At 56.2% G+C, this 13,783-nt stretch overlaps 1 protein-coding gene and 1 long non-coding RNA gene across 8 annotated transcripts in view; one reads left to right on the top strand and one right to left on the bottom strand.

Annotated features, from left to right (window-relative positions):
* The window catches only part of TMPRSS9 (transmembrane serine protease 9), a 65,997-nt gene that overhangs the window by 744 nt on the left and 51,470 nt on the right, over positions 1 to 13,783 (bottom strand). For all 7 annotated transcript variants that reach the window (NM_001395513.1, XM_011527978.3, NM_182973.3 and 4 more), the window contains 8 exons: positions 11,500 to 11,818; positions 9,677 to 9,848; positions 8,709 to 8,980; positions 7,380 to 7,516; positions 3,271 to 3,664; positions 1,261 to 1,429; positions 251 to 516; positions 25 to 161 (listed from right to left, as the gene is read on the bottom strand). In NM_001395513.1, the coding sequence (NP_001382442.1) occupies positions 25 to 161; positions 251 to 516; positions 1,261 to 1,429; positions 3,271 to 3,664; positions 7,380 to 7,516; positions 8,709 to 8,980; positions 9,677 to 9,848; positions 11,500 to 11,818 (1,866 nt within the window). The remainder of the gene's footprint in view (positions 1 to 24; positions 162 to 250; positions 517 to 1,260; positions 1,430 to 3,270; positions 3,665 to 7,379; positions 7,517 to 8,708; positions 8,981 to 9,676; positions 9,849 to 11,499; positions 11,819 to 13,783) is intronic.
* On the top strand, positions 7,510 to 8,693 carry LOC124904612 (uncharacterized). Its single transcript, XR_007067089.1, has 2 exons — positions 7,510 to 7,753; positions 8,506 to 8,693. It is a non-coding gene; the product is annotated as an uncharacterized LOC124904612 (long non-coding RNA).

The following is a 13,783-nucleotide window of genomic DNA, read 5'->3' as shown; positions in this document are numbered from 1 at the left end:
CCCCTGGGCCGGGGCGGGGCTCACCGAGCAGCTGTCCACGCCACCCTGCGGGAAGCCGGCACACAGCATGCGGCTGCTGATCTGCACTGGGTAGAAGCGGCGGCAGGTCTGCTCGCTGAGGAGGCGCACGGCCGCCTTCTGCAGCTGCCGCGCCATGGAGCCTGCGGGCGGGCGAGCGAGACGGGGCGGGTGGGGACCGCGTCCGGCCGCCCCCCGAGCCCCGCACCACCGCGGCCCCGGGCGCGCCTACCTCCTTCGCGCACCGAGCCCCAGCCGGTGATGACGCAGCGCGTGCCGTCCGGGGGTCGCGGCGCGGGCTCGGGCAGGCAGATGGGACGCACCAGGCGGCTGCGACGCACCGGCCCCGCCAGCTCCAGCAGCGCCACGTCGTAGTCGAGCGTGTAGAGATTGTAGAACGGGTGCTTGTAGATGCGCGCCACGCGCTCCAGCTGCCCCTCCGCGCCGCTCAGGAACGGCGTGCCTAGGAAGGCCGCCCACTGCTTGGGGTCCCCGTAGCTGCGGGGCGCGCGAGGACAGGCGTCGGCCCGAGCCCCCACGCCCCCGGCCCCCGCCCCTGTGGTGTCCCCCAGCGGCCGGCTGGCACCCTGGGCAGGGTTATTGGCCTCTTGGTCTCTGGCTGTCGGTCTGGGAATGGGCTCAGTCTCCCCCATCAGGCACCGAGGCGGCACCGGGAACTGCAGCCGTCACCACCTAATATGAGCGCTCTGAAAAGGGGTCTAGTGGCCGTGCGAGTCCCGCCCCCCGCCTGCCCTCCCCTTCTGACCTCCAGCCCTGCAGAGCCCAGAGCTGGGTGTCCCCTCTGGAAAACCGGACCCCTCGACTGCCAGGGCTTGGGCCCTGGGGAGGGCAGCTTTCTACTGGGTGGGCTTTGGGGGGCTGGAGCCAAGTCCCAGGGGCGAGGGCTGGGGAAAGAAGTGACCCCAATGTTCCCGTGGGCTTAGCCTGGAGCTGGAGGGGGGGGGCCGCAGCTTCCGGGTTAGGTGGGGACCGCGGGGTAGGACTCGGCCTTCGCAGCCCCAGCCCCGTGTGGTCAGGCTAGGGGGTGGGTGGTCAGGGGAGGGCTGCAGGGAGCGAGGATGGGGAGATGGGGGGTGGGAGGAGTGGCCTGGGGCAGTGGGAGCCGGGGTTGGGGAGGGCACTCCCGGCAAAGGAGGGGGTCAGGGTGCGTTTTCGGGCAACAGTTCGGTTCCGGGTGAGCTACAGAGACATGTAGGGGCATTTGGAGCGTTTGGAACTCACACGTCGAAGCAGTGCGCCGCCGACAGCAGCCACCTCTCTGCCACCAGCACGGCCCCGCAACGGTGTTCCCGGCGCCGCAGCCACAGGCTCACCTGCCACGGCCACTCCCCACGGCCCGCTGCGCTGCCGCCCACAATCCTGGTGAGCGCGGCCGGCGCCAGGCCACAGTCTGCGGGGGAGCCAGGCGCGTGGGCAGGCGGACCCAGGGCACCTCCTCCACGAAGGCCCCCCTGGGCGCCGCCTCTCCACGAATCCCCCTGGGAGCCCCAGGGAGTAGGTTGTGATGGGGGACCTATCCCAGGAAAACTCAGCAGGAAAGGACACTGGGCCTGCTGCTTGGTCTTTGGGCTTTTCTCAAATAACATTGGAAATGCATTTGTTTCCTATGACTTCAGTTTTGGGACCATACGTTTCCCCTGCCGGAGGCCCCTCTCATGGCAGCCTCCCACATCTCCGTCTTCCAGGAGTTCCCTCCCACCCCAAGGCCTTTGCACACACCAGGGCCCCGCCCCAGAGGCCCCAGCCCTGCCTTGGTGCCCTCTGCCTGGATCCCTGATCACCTCCAAGCCCTCCCCAGACGGTGCCAAGCGCAAAGGCCTTCCTCAGAACCCAGCTGTGGAAAGAACACGTGGGTGGTTTCCAGGGGGTTTCAGGGACCCTGTTACCACCCATGGAGGGGGTCCCATACCCACCTGCTGTCTCCAGAGGCGTGTTTTCCTCCTCAGGGGCAAGCCCCCCCGCCGCCCTCTATCACCACCCAGCTGGCTTCCCTGGGTCCCCCCCGCCCCCCACCCCCCACCAACCGCCATCCAACCCGCAGCAGCTACCAAGGCCAGTAAGGGGAAATGCCAGTTCCCCACCAGCCTTGGCACCGTCTGGCCCTGACATAAGACCAGGTGGCCTTGGATAATCTGACAGCAGCCGCAGCCGCTGTCCTTGGGAACACCAGCTACCTCCACACAGAACCCGCCTGTATTTTGAGGGGGGCCTTCTCCACCTCTTTTGGGCCCAAAGAGATCCCACGCCATAGCTATTGAAAAAGTCAAAATCAGCTGAGACTGAGAAAGTGAGAGCCCCCAGGCTGCAGGGACAGACCTACATGAGGGCAGCTGCCAAGTTAGCAAGAAACACGCACCCAAGGACATGGCACAGCTGTGAACCATCAAAGTCCCTGCTTTCATTTTTTTTTTTTTTTTTAATTTTTTTAGAGACAGGCTGTGTCACCCAGGCTGGAGTATAATGGCATGATCTCGGCTCACTGCAGCCTCTGCTTCCTGAGCTCAAATGATTCTCCTGTCTCAGCCTCCCCAGTAGCTGGAACCACAGGCATGCACCATCACGCCTGGCTTTTTATTTTTATTACTATTATCTAGCTGGAGTCTCACTCTGTTGCCCAGGCTGGAGTGCAATGGCACGATCTCGGCTCACTGCAACCTCCACCTCCTGGGTTCAAGCGATTCTCCTGCCTCAGCCTCCCAAGTAGCTGGGATTACAGGCACCTGTCACCATGCCTGGCTTTTTTTATTTATTTTTTTGTAGAGATGGGGTTTCACCATGTTGGCCAGGCTGGTCTGGAACTCCTGACCTCTGGCGATCCACCCGCCTTGGCCTCCCAAAGTGCTGGGATTACAGGCATGAGCCACCGCGCCCAGCCAGAGAGGCCGTTATGTCTTTTTCTTTTTTGAGACGGAGTTTCGCTTGTTGCCAGGCTGGAGTGCAGTGGCATGCAGCTCACTGCAAGCTCCGCCTCCCGGCTTCATGCCATTCTCCTGCCTTAGCCTCCCGCGTAGTTGGGACTACAGGCGCCCACCACCACGCCTGGCTAATTTTTTGTATTTTTTTAGTAGAGACAAGGTTTCACCGTGTTCGCCAGGATGGTCTCGATCTCCTGACCTCTTGATCCGCCCGCCTCGGCCTCCCAAAGTGGACGACGTTATGTCTTGTTAGGCAGCCCAGGCTGATTAACATGGGACCCTCCACTCCCAGGGATCCCTCCGTCTCTCCCGGTACCTGGTAGCTGGGTGTGTGTGGTGGCCTCCGGGGCGTCTGGAAATGGCGTCTGTCCCCTAGCAGTGGTGCTCACGGCAGATAAGGTTGAGTTGGCAGGTTGGCCCGTCACCCTGCTGGCAGCCCCAGGGGTGGGTCTGCTGGGTGTGGCCCCCGGGACTGTGAGGCCAGCTGTCGTCCTGGGGCTGGTGGTGGCCAGCATCCTTGTGGTCGAGGGGGGAGACATGGGAAGGGGCTGGGAGGACATGATCTCCAGGATCCAGCCCTTTAGCCTGGTGATGCGCGTGTACACGCCCGGCTTCTTAACCTGAGCGCAGCCAATACCCCAGCTCACGATCCCTGCCAGATAAAACACGCCAGGGGCCTCCTCGCAGGCCAGGGGGCCCCCAGAGTCACCCTAGAAAGGAAGGAAAGAGCACTGGTTGGTCCTCCAGGGACCCTCTCTTCCCAGCACTGCCATACCCTCCTGCGTTCCTACAGTGGGTGGGAGCCATCGAGGGCGGGGGGCAGAGGGCACAGCGCGGGTCTGGAGACCTGACTGCAGCCCCATGCCTGGCTGTGTGACCTGGAGTGAGTCACTTCTCCTCTCTGAGTTTCCATCATTCTTGCTTTTGTTTTGAGGAGGTAAAACAATGCAGAAAAACTCTAAAAATAATAACAATAAGGCCAGGCGTGGTGGCTCACGCCTGTAATCCCAGCACTTTAGGAGGCTGAGGCAGGCAGATGATGAAGTCAGGAGTTCCAGGCCAGCCTGACCAACATGGTGAAACCCCGTCTCTACTAAAAATACAAAAATTAGCTGGGCGTGGTGGTGGGCGCCTGTAGTTCCACCTACTAGGGAGGCTGAGGCAGGAGAATGGCGTGAACCCGGGAGGCGGAGCTTGCAGTGAGCTGAGATCGCACCACTGCACTCCAGCCTGGGCAACGGAACAAGACTCCCTCTCAAAAAAAAAAATAAATAAATAACAACAATAACAGCCATGAATAGTCCCACCATCTAGAAGTAGCCCCTGACCACTAGCTGCCAAGCTTATTTCTTTTCTTGAGGCAGAGTCTCGCTCTTGTTGCCCAGGCCAGAGTGCAGTGGGATGATCTCGGCTCACTGCAACCTCCACCTCCTGGGTTCAAGTGATTCTCCTGCCTCAGCCTCCCGAGTAGCTGGAACTACAGGCATAAGCCACAACGCCCGGCTAATTTTTGTATTTTTAGTAGAGATGGGGGCTTCACCACGTCGGCCAGGCTGGTCTCCAACTCCTGACCTCAGATGATCCACCCGCCTTGGCCTCCTAAAGTGCTGGGATTACAGATGTGAGCCACCTGGCCTGGCCTCAACATTCTTTTCAAGATAAAAAGCTAACTATTGTGAATCGCCCATTTATATAGAGAATAAATAGTATAATAATAGATACTATAAATACCTATTATTCTATTTTTATTGTCAGATATAAAGAACAAATATAATGAATATATAGGAAGAAAAGACTATGCAAGACACCGATCTCACAACACTCCTAGAAGACAGGCATTGCTATGCTTCCCACTTTACATATGGGGATCAGAGTCCCAGAGAGGTTAAGGCACTTGCCTGGGGTCACACAGTAGTTGAAGCAGGATTTGAACTCAGAAGTCTGATTGAAGAACTTGGGCTGGGTAGGTTCCCATTGCAGGTTATTTACCACCTTCCTTTTAACTACTGTGTGTGAATGGGCATTTACACTGTCATTGATATTTTGTATTGATTAGTAATAATGGCATCTAACTTTGAGAGTTACTATTGAAATCTGATGCCATTTTTTTTTTTTTTTTTTTGAGGTGGAGTCTCACTCTGTTGCCCGGGCTGGAGTGCAGTGACATGATCTCGGCTCACTGTGACCTCCGCCTCCTGGGCTCAAGCAATTCTCCTGCCTCAGCCTCCGGAGTAGCTAGAATTACCAGCACCCGCCACCATGCCTGGCTAAATTCTTGTAGTTTTTTAGTAGAGACAGGGTTTCGCCATGTTGGCCAGGCCAGTCTTGAACTGCCTACCTCAGGTGATCTGCCTGCCTCGGCCTCCCAAAATGCATGCCACTGCACCCGCCCTTCGTTTTTTGAGATAGGGTCTTGCTGTGTCGCCCAGGATGGAGTGCAGCTGTGTGATCACAGTTTACTGCAGCCTAGACACCTGGCCTCAAGAGATCCTCCCAGTTCAGCTGCCCAAGGAGCTGGGACCACAGGCACCTGCCACTCTGCCTGACAAATTTTTTTTTTAAATTTTTGTAGAGACGGGGTCTCACTATGTTGTCCAGACTGGTCTTGCAATCCTGGCCTCGACTGATCCTACCTCAGCCTCCTGAAGCACTGGAATTACAGGCATGAGGCACTGCACCCAGCCTGAAAATTAACCTGTCTGTGTGTGCACGGTTGAGCCCTTCAGAAATCTGGGCATGGTGGCTATGGCCGGGTGCAGTGGCTCAGGCCTGCCATCCTAGCAGTTTGGGAGGCTGAGGCGGGCGGATCACCTGAGGTCAGGAGTTCGAGACCAGCCTGGCCAACATGGTGAAACCACGTCTCTACTAAAAATACAAAAATTAGCTGGACGTGGAGGCACATGCCTGTAGTCCCAGCTACTCCAGAGGCTGAGGCAGGAGAATCACTTGAACCCAGGAGGCAGAGGTTGCAGTGAGCCGAGATCACGCCACTACACTCCAGCCTGGGCGACAGAGTAAGACTCCATCTCAAAAAAAAAAAAGGAAAAAGAAAAAGAAATCTAGGCTGGGTACAGTGGCTCACGCCTGTAATCCTAGCACTTTGGGAGGCCCAGGTGGGCAGATCACGACATCAGGAGATCGAGACCATCCTGGCCAACATAGTGAAACCCCGTCTCTACTAAAAATACAAAAATTAGCTGGGCATGGTGGCGGGCGCCTATAATCCCAGCTACTCGGGAGGCTGAGGCAGGAGACTCGCTTGAACCTGGGAGGCGGAGGTTGCAGTGAGCCAAGATCGCACCACTGCACTCCAGCCTGGGCGACAGAGCCAGACTCCGTCAGAAAGAAAGAAACAGAGAGAAAGACAGAGAGAGAGAGAGAAGGAAAGGAAAGGAAGGAAAGGTAGGGAGGGAAGGGAAGGAAAGGGAGGGAGGGAAGAGAAGGAAAGGGAGGGAGGGAAGGAGACGGTGGGAGGGAAGGGAAGGAGAGGGCGGGAGGGAAGGGAAGGAGAGGGTGGGAGGGAAGGGAAGGAGAGGGCGGGAGGGGAAGGAAAGGGAGGGAGGGAAGGAAAGGAAAGGTAGGGAGGGAAGGGAAGGGAGGGAAGGAAAGGGAGGGAGGGAAGGAAAGGAAAGGTAGGGAGGGAAGGGAAGGGAGGGAAGGAAAGGGAGGGAGGGAAGGAAAGGAAAGGTAGGGAGGGAAGGGAAGGAAAGGGAGGGAGGGAGGGAAGGAAACGGAGGGAGGGAAGGAAAGGGAGGGAGGGAAGGAAAGGAAAGGTAGGGAGGGAAGGGGAGGGAGGGAAGGAAAGGGAGGGAGGGAAGGAAAGGGAGGGAGGGAAGGAAAGGAAAGGTAGGGAGGGAAGGGGAGGGAGGGAAGGAAAGGGAGGGAGGGAAGGAAAGGAAAGGTAGGGAGGGAAGGGAAGGAAAGGGAGGGAGGGAGGGAAGGAAACGGAGGGAGGGAAGGAAAGGGAGGGAGGGAAGGAATGGAAGGAAAGGCCAGGGAGGGAAGGAAAGGGAGGGAGGGAAGGGAAGGGAGGGAGGAGAGGGAAGGAAAGGGAGGGAGGGAGGGAAGGAAAGGTAGGGAGGGAAGGGGAGGGAGGGAAGGAAAGGGAGGGAGGGAAGGGGAGGGAGGGAAGGAAAGGGAGGGAGGGAAGGAATGGAAGGAAAGGCCAGGGAGGGAAGGAAAGGGAGGGAGGGAAGGGAAGGGAGGGAGGGAGGGAAAGGGAGGGAAGGAAAGGGAGGGAGGGAGGGAGGGAGGGAAAGGGAGGGAAGGAAAGGAGGAAAGGAAAAGGAGGGAAGGACAAGGAGGGAAGGAGGGGGGGAAGGAAAGAAAGGAAAAAAATCTAGGTCTGCACACAAAGAACTGCTGGGTGAACGGCTGTGGGCATTTCATGGAAATATTGCCCGCTTTCCCCCTTTGAATGCTTACCTGGCAGGAGTCGACTTTGCCTTCCAGGAAGCCTGCGCAGATCATGCGGTCTGTGAGGGAGAAGTTGTAGAGCACACTACAGGTTTTCTGGTCTATGATGCCCACGGACGCCTTCTGCAGGAGCTCGGGCTTGGTGGCTACCAGGGAAAGAGCCAGAAAGGCCACGTGCACAGTGATCATCAGAGCAGCTCCAGTTCCGCTCCGATAACAGCCCCGAGATGCAGCATCCCCACCCCACAGACGAAGAAACCAGGGCTCACAGAGTTGCAGGAATCTCACAAAGCCACAGAGTGAGGAGGAGGTGGGCCTGATGGCCCGCTCAGAGCGCAAGAGTCTCCCCACTGTCCCCATGGGGCTGCCGCCCTAGCACCTGGGTAAGGTGTAGGAGGCCATTCTGAGGTCAAGGGAAGCATTAACTGTTGGAGTGGGAGGGGTCTCGGGATAGACTAGCGCAAGCAAGCACCAGTGAGCATTTGCTTTTTTTGTTTTTTGAGACAGGGTCTTGCTCTGTTGCCCAGGCTGGAGTGCAGTGGCATGATCATGGCTCACTGCGGCCTTGAACTCCCAGGCTCAAGTGATTCTCCTGCCTCAGCCTCCTAAGTAGCTGGGACTACAGGCATGTGCCACCATACTCGGCTAATTTTTTATTTTTCTATTTTTTTTTTTTTTTTTGAGATGGGAGTCTCGCTCTGTCACCCAGGCTGGAGTGCAGTGGCACAATCTCAGCTCACTGCAGCCTCTGCCTCCCAGATTCAAGCAATTCTCCTGCCTCAGCCTCCCGAGTAGCTGGGATTACAGGCATGCATCACCACACCCGGCTAATTTTTGTATTTCTAGTAGAGACGGGGTTTCACCATGTTGGCCAGGCTGATCTCAAACTCCTGACCTCAAATGATCCACCCTCCTGGGCCTCCCAAAGTGCTGGGATTACAGGTGTGAGCCACCACATGTGGCCGCCGGCAAACATTTTCTATAAATGGTCAGAGAATTAAATATTTTCAGCTTTAAGGGCCAGTCTCTGTCACAAGTATTTAACTCTGCTGCTATTGCAGGAAAGCAGCCATAGACAATCTGTTGATGTGTGAACATGGCCCCTGTTCCAATAAAACTTTGTTTATACAAACAGGCAACAGCCAGATTTTGCCCCCAGATGGAATGGGGAAGTGAGAGGTGTGTGGGCAGCGGGACCAAAGACAAAGGGATCAGCCACAGAGGTCCCTGTGCAGTGGAATTGGTTTAGGGTCCAGGTAAGAGATGCCCATCCTGACCCTCCCCAGGCCAGGCCCTGGAGAATAAATCCACCGTTCCCCTCGATGGGGCAGCGCTCACCATTTCCTTCCTGCGTATTTCCCCATCCGGAGATCATGCACTTCCGGCCCACAGGGAACTTCTGGATGGCCAGGGGCAGGCAGACAGGCTGGATGTATTTGTTGAAGGCCAGGGGGCTGGCCAGCTCCAGGACAGCCAGGTCGAAGTCCAGGATGCCAGGGTTGTAGAGGGGGTGCAGCACTACCCGCCGCAGCCCGATCTTCACCGGGCTCCCGCCCAGGCCCAGGAGGGACGCAGTGCCCAGGTGGGCCCGAACCTGCTCCACCTTCGTGCTATGGAGACAGGGCCCTCAGACATGCCTGCCCTCCAGCACATGCCCGCCTTCTTGGGGAGGGACAGGGCTGATGCACACCCCCAGGAAGCCACACAGGGCTGCCTGGGCCCCAGGACCATCCTCTGACCTTCGGCTCCAGGGAGGAGGACCAGGGAAAGAGGGGCTGCTGGGCTCCTCCTGAAAAGGATCCCAAGCTGGGGGACCTCGGACAAGTCAGGGGACCCTCAGGCTTCATTTTCTACACCTGTGCCAATGCCCCCCCCCAACCCCCTACAGCTTTATGAGTCTCTTTTTTGTTGAGACAGGGTCTCGCTCTGTTGCCCCAGATGGAGTGCAGTGGCACCATCAGGCTCACTGCAGCCTCGACCTCCTGGGCTCAAGCAATTCTCCTGCCTCACGCTCCTGAGTAGCTGGGACCACAGATGCGGGCCACCATGCCTGGGAATCTCCAAGATAAACGCTGCCTGGGTAGCAAGCAATGGGGAAGGAACCCTCCTCCCCCTCCCCTGGTTAGGCCCTGTTTGTCCTTAGAAGCCTTGGCACCGGCTCCCTCCTGTCTCTCAGCTGCCCTCAGGAGAGGAAGGGCTGCTCCCCAGTGGGGTCCATGCAGCAGCCCCAGCAGGATGGTTTCTGACAGGGAGGGGCTGGTGAGGAGGGGAAGCCGGGCAGCCTTCCTGGAGGAGGCGGGCCTTACTGGTTGAAGCAGTGGGCGGCAGACAGCAGCCAGCGGTCCCCCACCACAGTTGCTCCGCAGAAGTGCCGGGACCCTTCCTTCAGGCTGACCTGCCAGGGCACCTCCCCGGAGGCAGCTCCGAACCCGCCCACGACCCGGGTGGGCTTCTCCATTGCAGGCCTGGCCCCACATTCTGGAAGGAGGACACAAGACCAGGTCTGGGGATCTTGGCCTGCTCGGGTGGGAGCATCCGGTGGGGTGGTCCCAGGACACCGGTTGCAGCCAGGCCCTGAAGATGCCGCAATCCCTCCCGTTCCACACAAGAAGCCGTGGAGGCTTCAAGGTGTCCGTAGTTTGCCCAAGGTCCTGCAGCAAGTTCGTGGCCTCGCTTCGGGGACAGAAGTTAAGAAAGAAACATACAGCGGCCCAGTCAGCCCGAGGACCCCCCGCAACAGACCCCACCACAGACCCGCAGCCCACAAAGCCAGGTTTATGGCCTCCTTGCAAAGACGGGGCTGCACTCCAGGAGACCCATGGGGCGGCTGAGAAAAGGAAGGGTACGATTGTTAGGGGGTTTCGGAACAGAGTGTGGGGTGTAGGTGAACTGAAATGAAGCATGGCCGGGCGCGGTGGCTCATGCCTGTTATCCCAGCACTTTGGGAGGCCAAGGCGGGCAGATCACCTGAGGTCAGGAGTTCGAGACCAGCCTGGCCAACATGGCGAAACCCCAACTCTACTAAAAATACAAAAATTAGCCAAGCATGGTGATGGGCACCTGTAATCCCAGCTATTCAGGAGGCTGAGGCAGGAGAATCACTTGAACCGGGAGGTGGAGGTTGCAGTGAGCCGAGATCACACCACTGCACTCCAGCCTGGGCGACAAGAGTGAAACTCCGTCTCAGAAAAAAAAAAAAAAAAAAATAGGAATGCAACTAACAGTTTTTGGAAACAGAGATATAGTCCTACAAGTTTTCTTTTTTCTTTTTCGAGATGGAGTTGTGCTCTTGTTGCCCGGGCTGGAGTGCAGTGGCACCATGTCACCGTATCAGCTCACTGCAACCTCCGCTTCCTGGGTTCAAGCGATTCTCCTGCCTCAGCCTCCCAAGTAGCTGGGATTACAGGTGCCCTCCACCATGCCCAGCTAATTTTTAGTATAGATGGGGTTTTGCCATGTTGGCCAGGCTGGTCTTGAACTCCTGACCTCAAGCGATCTGCCCACCTCTGCCTCCCAAAGTGTGCGATGACAGGCACGAGCCACCGCACCCTGCCAGTCCTACAAGTTGTCTGGGTACAAACTATTTGAAAATACAATAGAAAGTATTCCAGACCGGGCATGGTGGCTCACACCTGTCATCCCAGCATTTTGGGAGGCTGAGGTGGGCAGATGATGAAGTCAGGAGTTCGAGGCCAGCCTGACCAACATGGGGAAACCCCGTCTCTACTAAAAATACAAAAATTAGCCGGGTGTGGTGGCCTGTGCCTGTAATCCCGGCTGTTCAGGAGGCTGAGGCAGGAGAATCACTTGAACCTGGGAGGCGGAGGTTGCAGTGAGCCGAGATCACGCCACTGCACTCCAGCCTGGGCGACGGAGCAAGACTGCGTCTCAAAAAAAAAAAAAAGTATCCCATTGATAGATCGCCATAGTTAACAAGACATGGGCAAGACCTGTGGACAGAAAGATACCATGAGGGTACACGCAACGTAAGATGGGAATAAACGGATACACATGTGACCTTTCCTTGAACAGGAAGATCCAAAATTATGAAGATACTATGACGATATCCGTTCTCCCTAAATCAAGATAGGCACGTACATCATCTTCTACCTTTCTGCCCCGAAAATACCTTGTAGCTTAGGAACGGTGACCCAGTCAAGAGGCACGGTACTGAGGGCCTGCATCGATTTGGTGGGGGTGCTGACCACAGGGCTCTCAGGACTGGTGGGCCAGGCTGTGCTGGGGGCGGCAGGGGCAGGAGCCATGGTGGGGGCCAGAGGCATGCTGGCTTTGGTGGTGGCCTCCAGGATCCAGTCACGTAGCCTGGTGACTCGGGCATAGACCCCTGGACGCCGGGCTTCCGCACACCCGATTCCCCAGCTCACGATGCCAGCCAGAAAGAACCGGCCAGAGGGCTCCTCGCAGACCAGGGGTCCTCCTGAGTCACCCTAGGAAACCAACACACACCCTCAGGATGGGTCGGCAGCAGCCAGTCCAGACACCAGTGCTACGAGGCCCAAGAAGGAGCTCTGAGCTGGGACAGCCAGGACCTCTCTCCACACAAGCTCACAGAGCACCTGGGGCTGATCATTGACATCTCAGAACCTGTTTCCTCTTCTGTGGAGGAAAAAAAACAAAACCCAAGACAGTTGGACTATAGGATCTCTAAGATGTCTTTCAGTCCTACCTCTGGCAGGCCAAAACGTGACCCAAATAAATAACATCCCCTCCTCTTCTTAACTCAGTAGATCTTTGATAATGTCACCACTTGCTTAGGCTGGCAGTATGGCTGCCACGCGGGTGCCTCCATATATCTCACTGGTAGCTGCAGCATTGCTCCCAAAGTGCTCATCTGCTGTCACTCGTCCGGCCTCACCATTTTTTACCTTCCCATATCCAGTTCACCCTGACCCTTACGTTCTGTGTATCGTTTTTTTGTTTGTTTTTGTTTTTGAGATAGAGTTTTGCTCTGTTGCCCAGGCTGGAGTGCAATGGCGTGATCTCGGCTCACTGCAACCTCCTCCTCCCAGGTTCAAGCAATTCTCCTGCCTCAGCCTCCCAAGTAGCTGTGATTATAGGCACGCATCACCACGCCCGGCTAATTTCTTGTATTTTTAGTAGAGACGGGGTTTCACCATGTTGGCCAGGCTGGTCTTGAACTCCTGACCTTAAGTGATCTGCCCACCTCAGCCTCCCAAAGTGCTGGGATGACAGGCGTGAGCCACCGTGCCTGGCCGACTCTTACATTCTTAAACATGAGCCCTCTCATTAGTTCCTAGCATTTTCTCCAGATTCTGGTTTCAATATGGCAATCTAAGCACATGTAGCAGTCTCTCCCATCTTTTCCTCACCCACCAGGCCTTAGAAACAAGAGCAAAGGTATGCACAAGAAAGACAGGAATCCACAGCCATGCTAAAAAAATTAGGCAGGAGAGATCCCTGGTTGTGGACCAGAAACCATGAAGACTCACGAGAGGCTGACAGAGGAAGTGGCAGCCCAGCCCATGTGCAGAAGCTCAAGACACAAGAGAAAGCTTTCTCAAGAGGACCTGGGTTGGTTGGGGTAGAAAAGGGATTTGGGCAACCACAAAGGATAAATGAGACCAGGAGGTCTTTGGTCCCTTGAAAGGGTACATAGAATCCAAGAACACAAACTGTTAATGTCCCTCGCCAAGAGAAAGTGAATAGCAAATATAAGATCACGGCAAGAATTGAGCGACATTTTTAAATTTTCAATTTTGTTTGAGACGGCGTCTCACTCTGTCACTCAGGCTAGAGTACAGTGGCGTGATCTTGGCTTACTGCAACCTCCACCTCCTGGGCTCAAATAATCCTCCCACCTCAGCCTCTCAAGTAGCTGGGACTACAGGCATGCACCACCAAACCCAGCTAATTTTTGTTTTTGTTTTTGTTTTTGTAGAGACAAAAGTTTTGCTATGTTGCCCTAACTGGTCTCAAACTCCTGGCCTCAAGCGACCTGGCTGCCTCAGCCTCCCAAAGTACTGGGATTACAGGTGTGAGCCACTGCACCCAGCTTTTCATTCTTAAGCACCAGTTGAGGGATTCCAATCTCCATGAAATAAAGACACTCAGTTACAACAGAATAACTTACGTTTGCCTGAAATACAGTTAACCACAAATATAGAATATAGAAGAAACATAACGGATTAAATTACGATCCTCAGAGAAAAAGAAAGAAATGGTATCCACGAAACAAGAACAGGACACTGCAAACAAGACCAGGTGGCTGAAAGAAGAAAGAATGAGACACCTTGAAAACAAAAATTATAATTGTCGGCCGGGCCTGGTGGCTCACACCTGTAATCCTAGCACTTTGGGAGGACAAGGTGGGCAGATCACCTGAAGCCAGGATTTCGAGACCAGCCTGGCCAACATGGCGAAACCCTGTCTTT

The sequence above is a fragment of the Homo sapiens genome, chromosome 19 (assembly GCF_000001405.40).
Source record: "Homo sapiens chromosome 19, GRCh38.p14 Primary Assembly".
NCBI lineage: Eukaryota > Metazoa > Chordata > Mammalia > Primates > Hominidae > Homo > Homo sapiens.
This window is presented reverse-complemented; position numbering and strand designations above follow the sequence as displayed.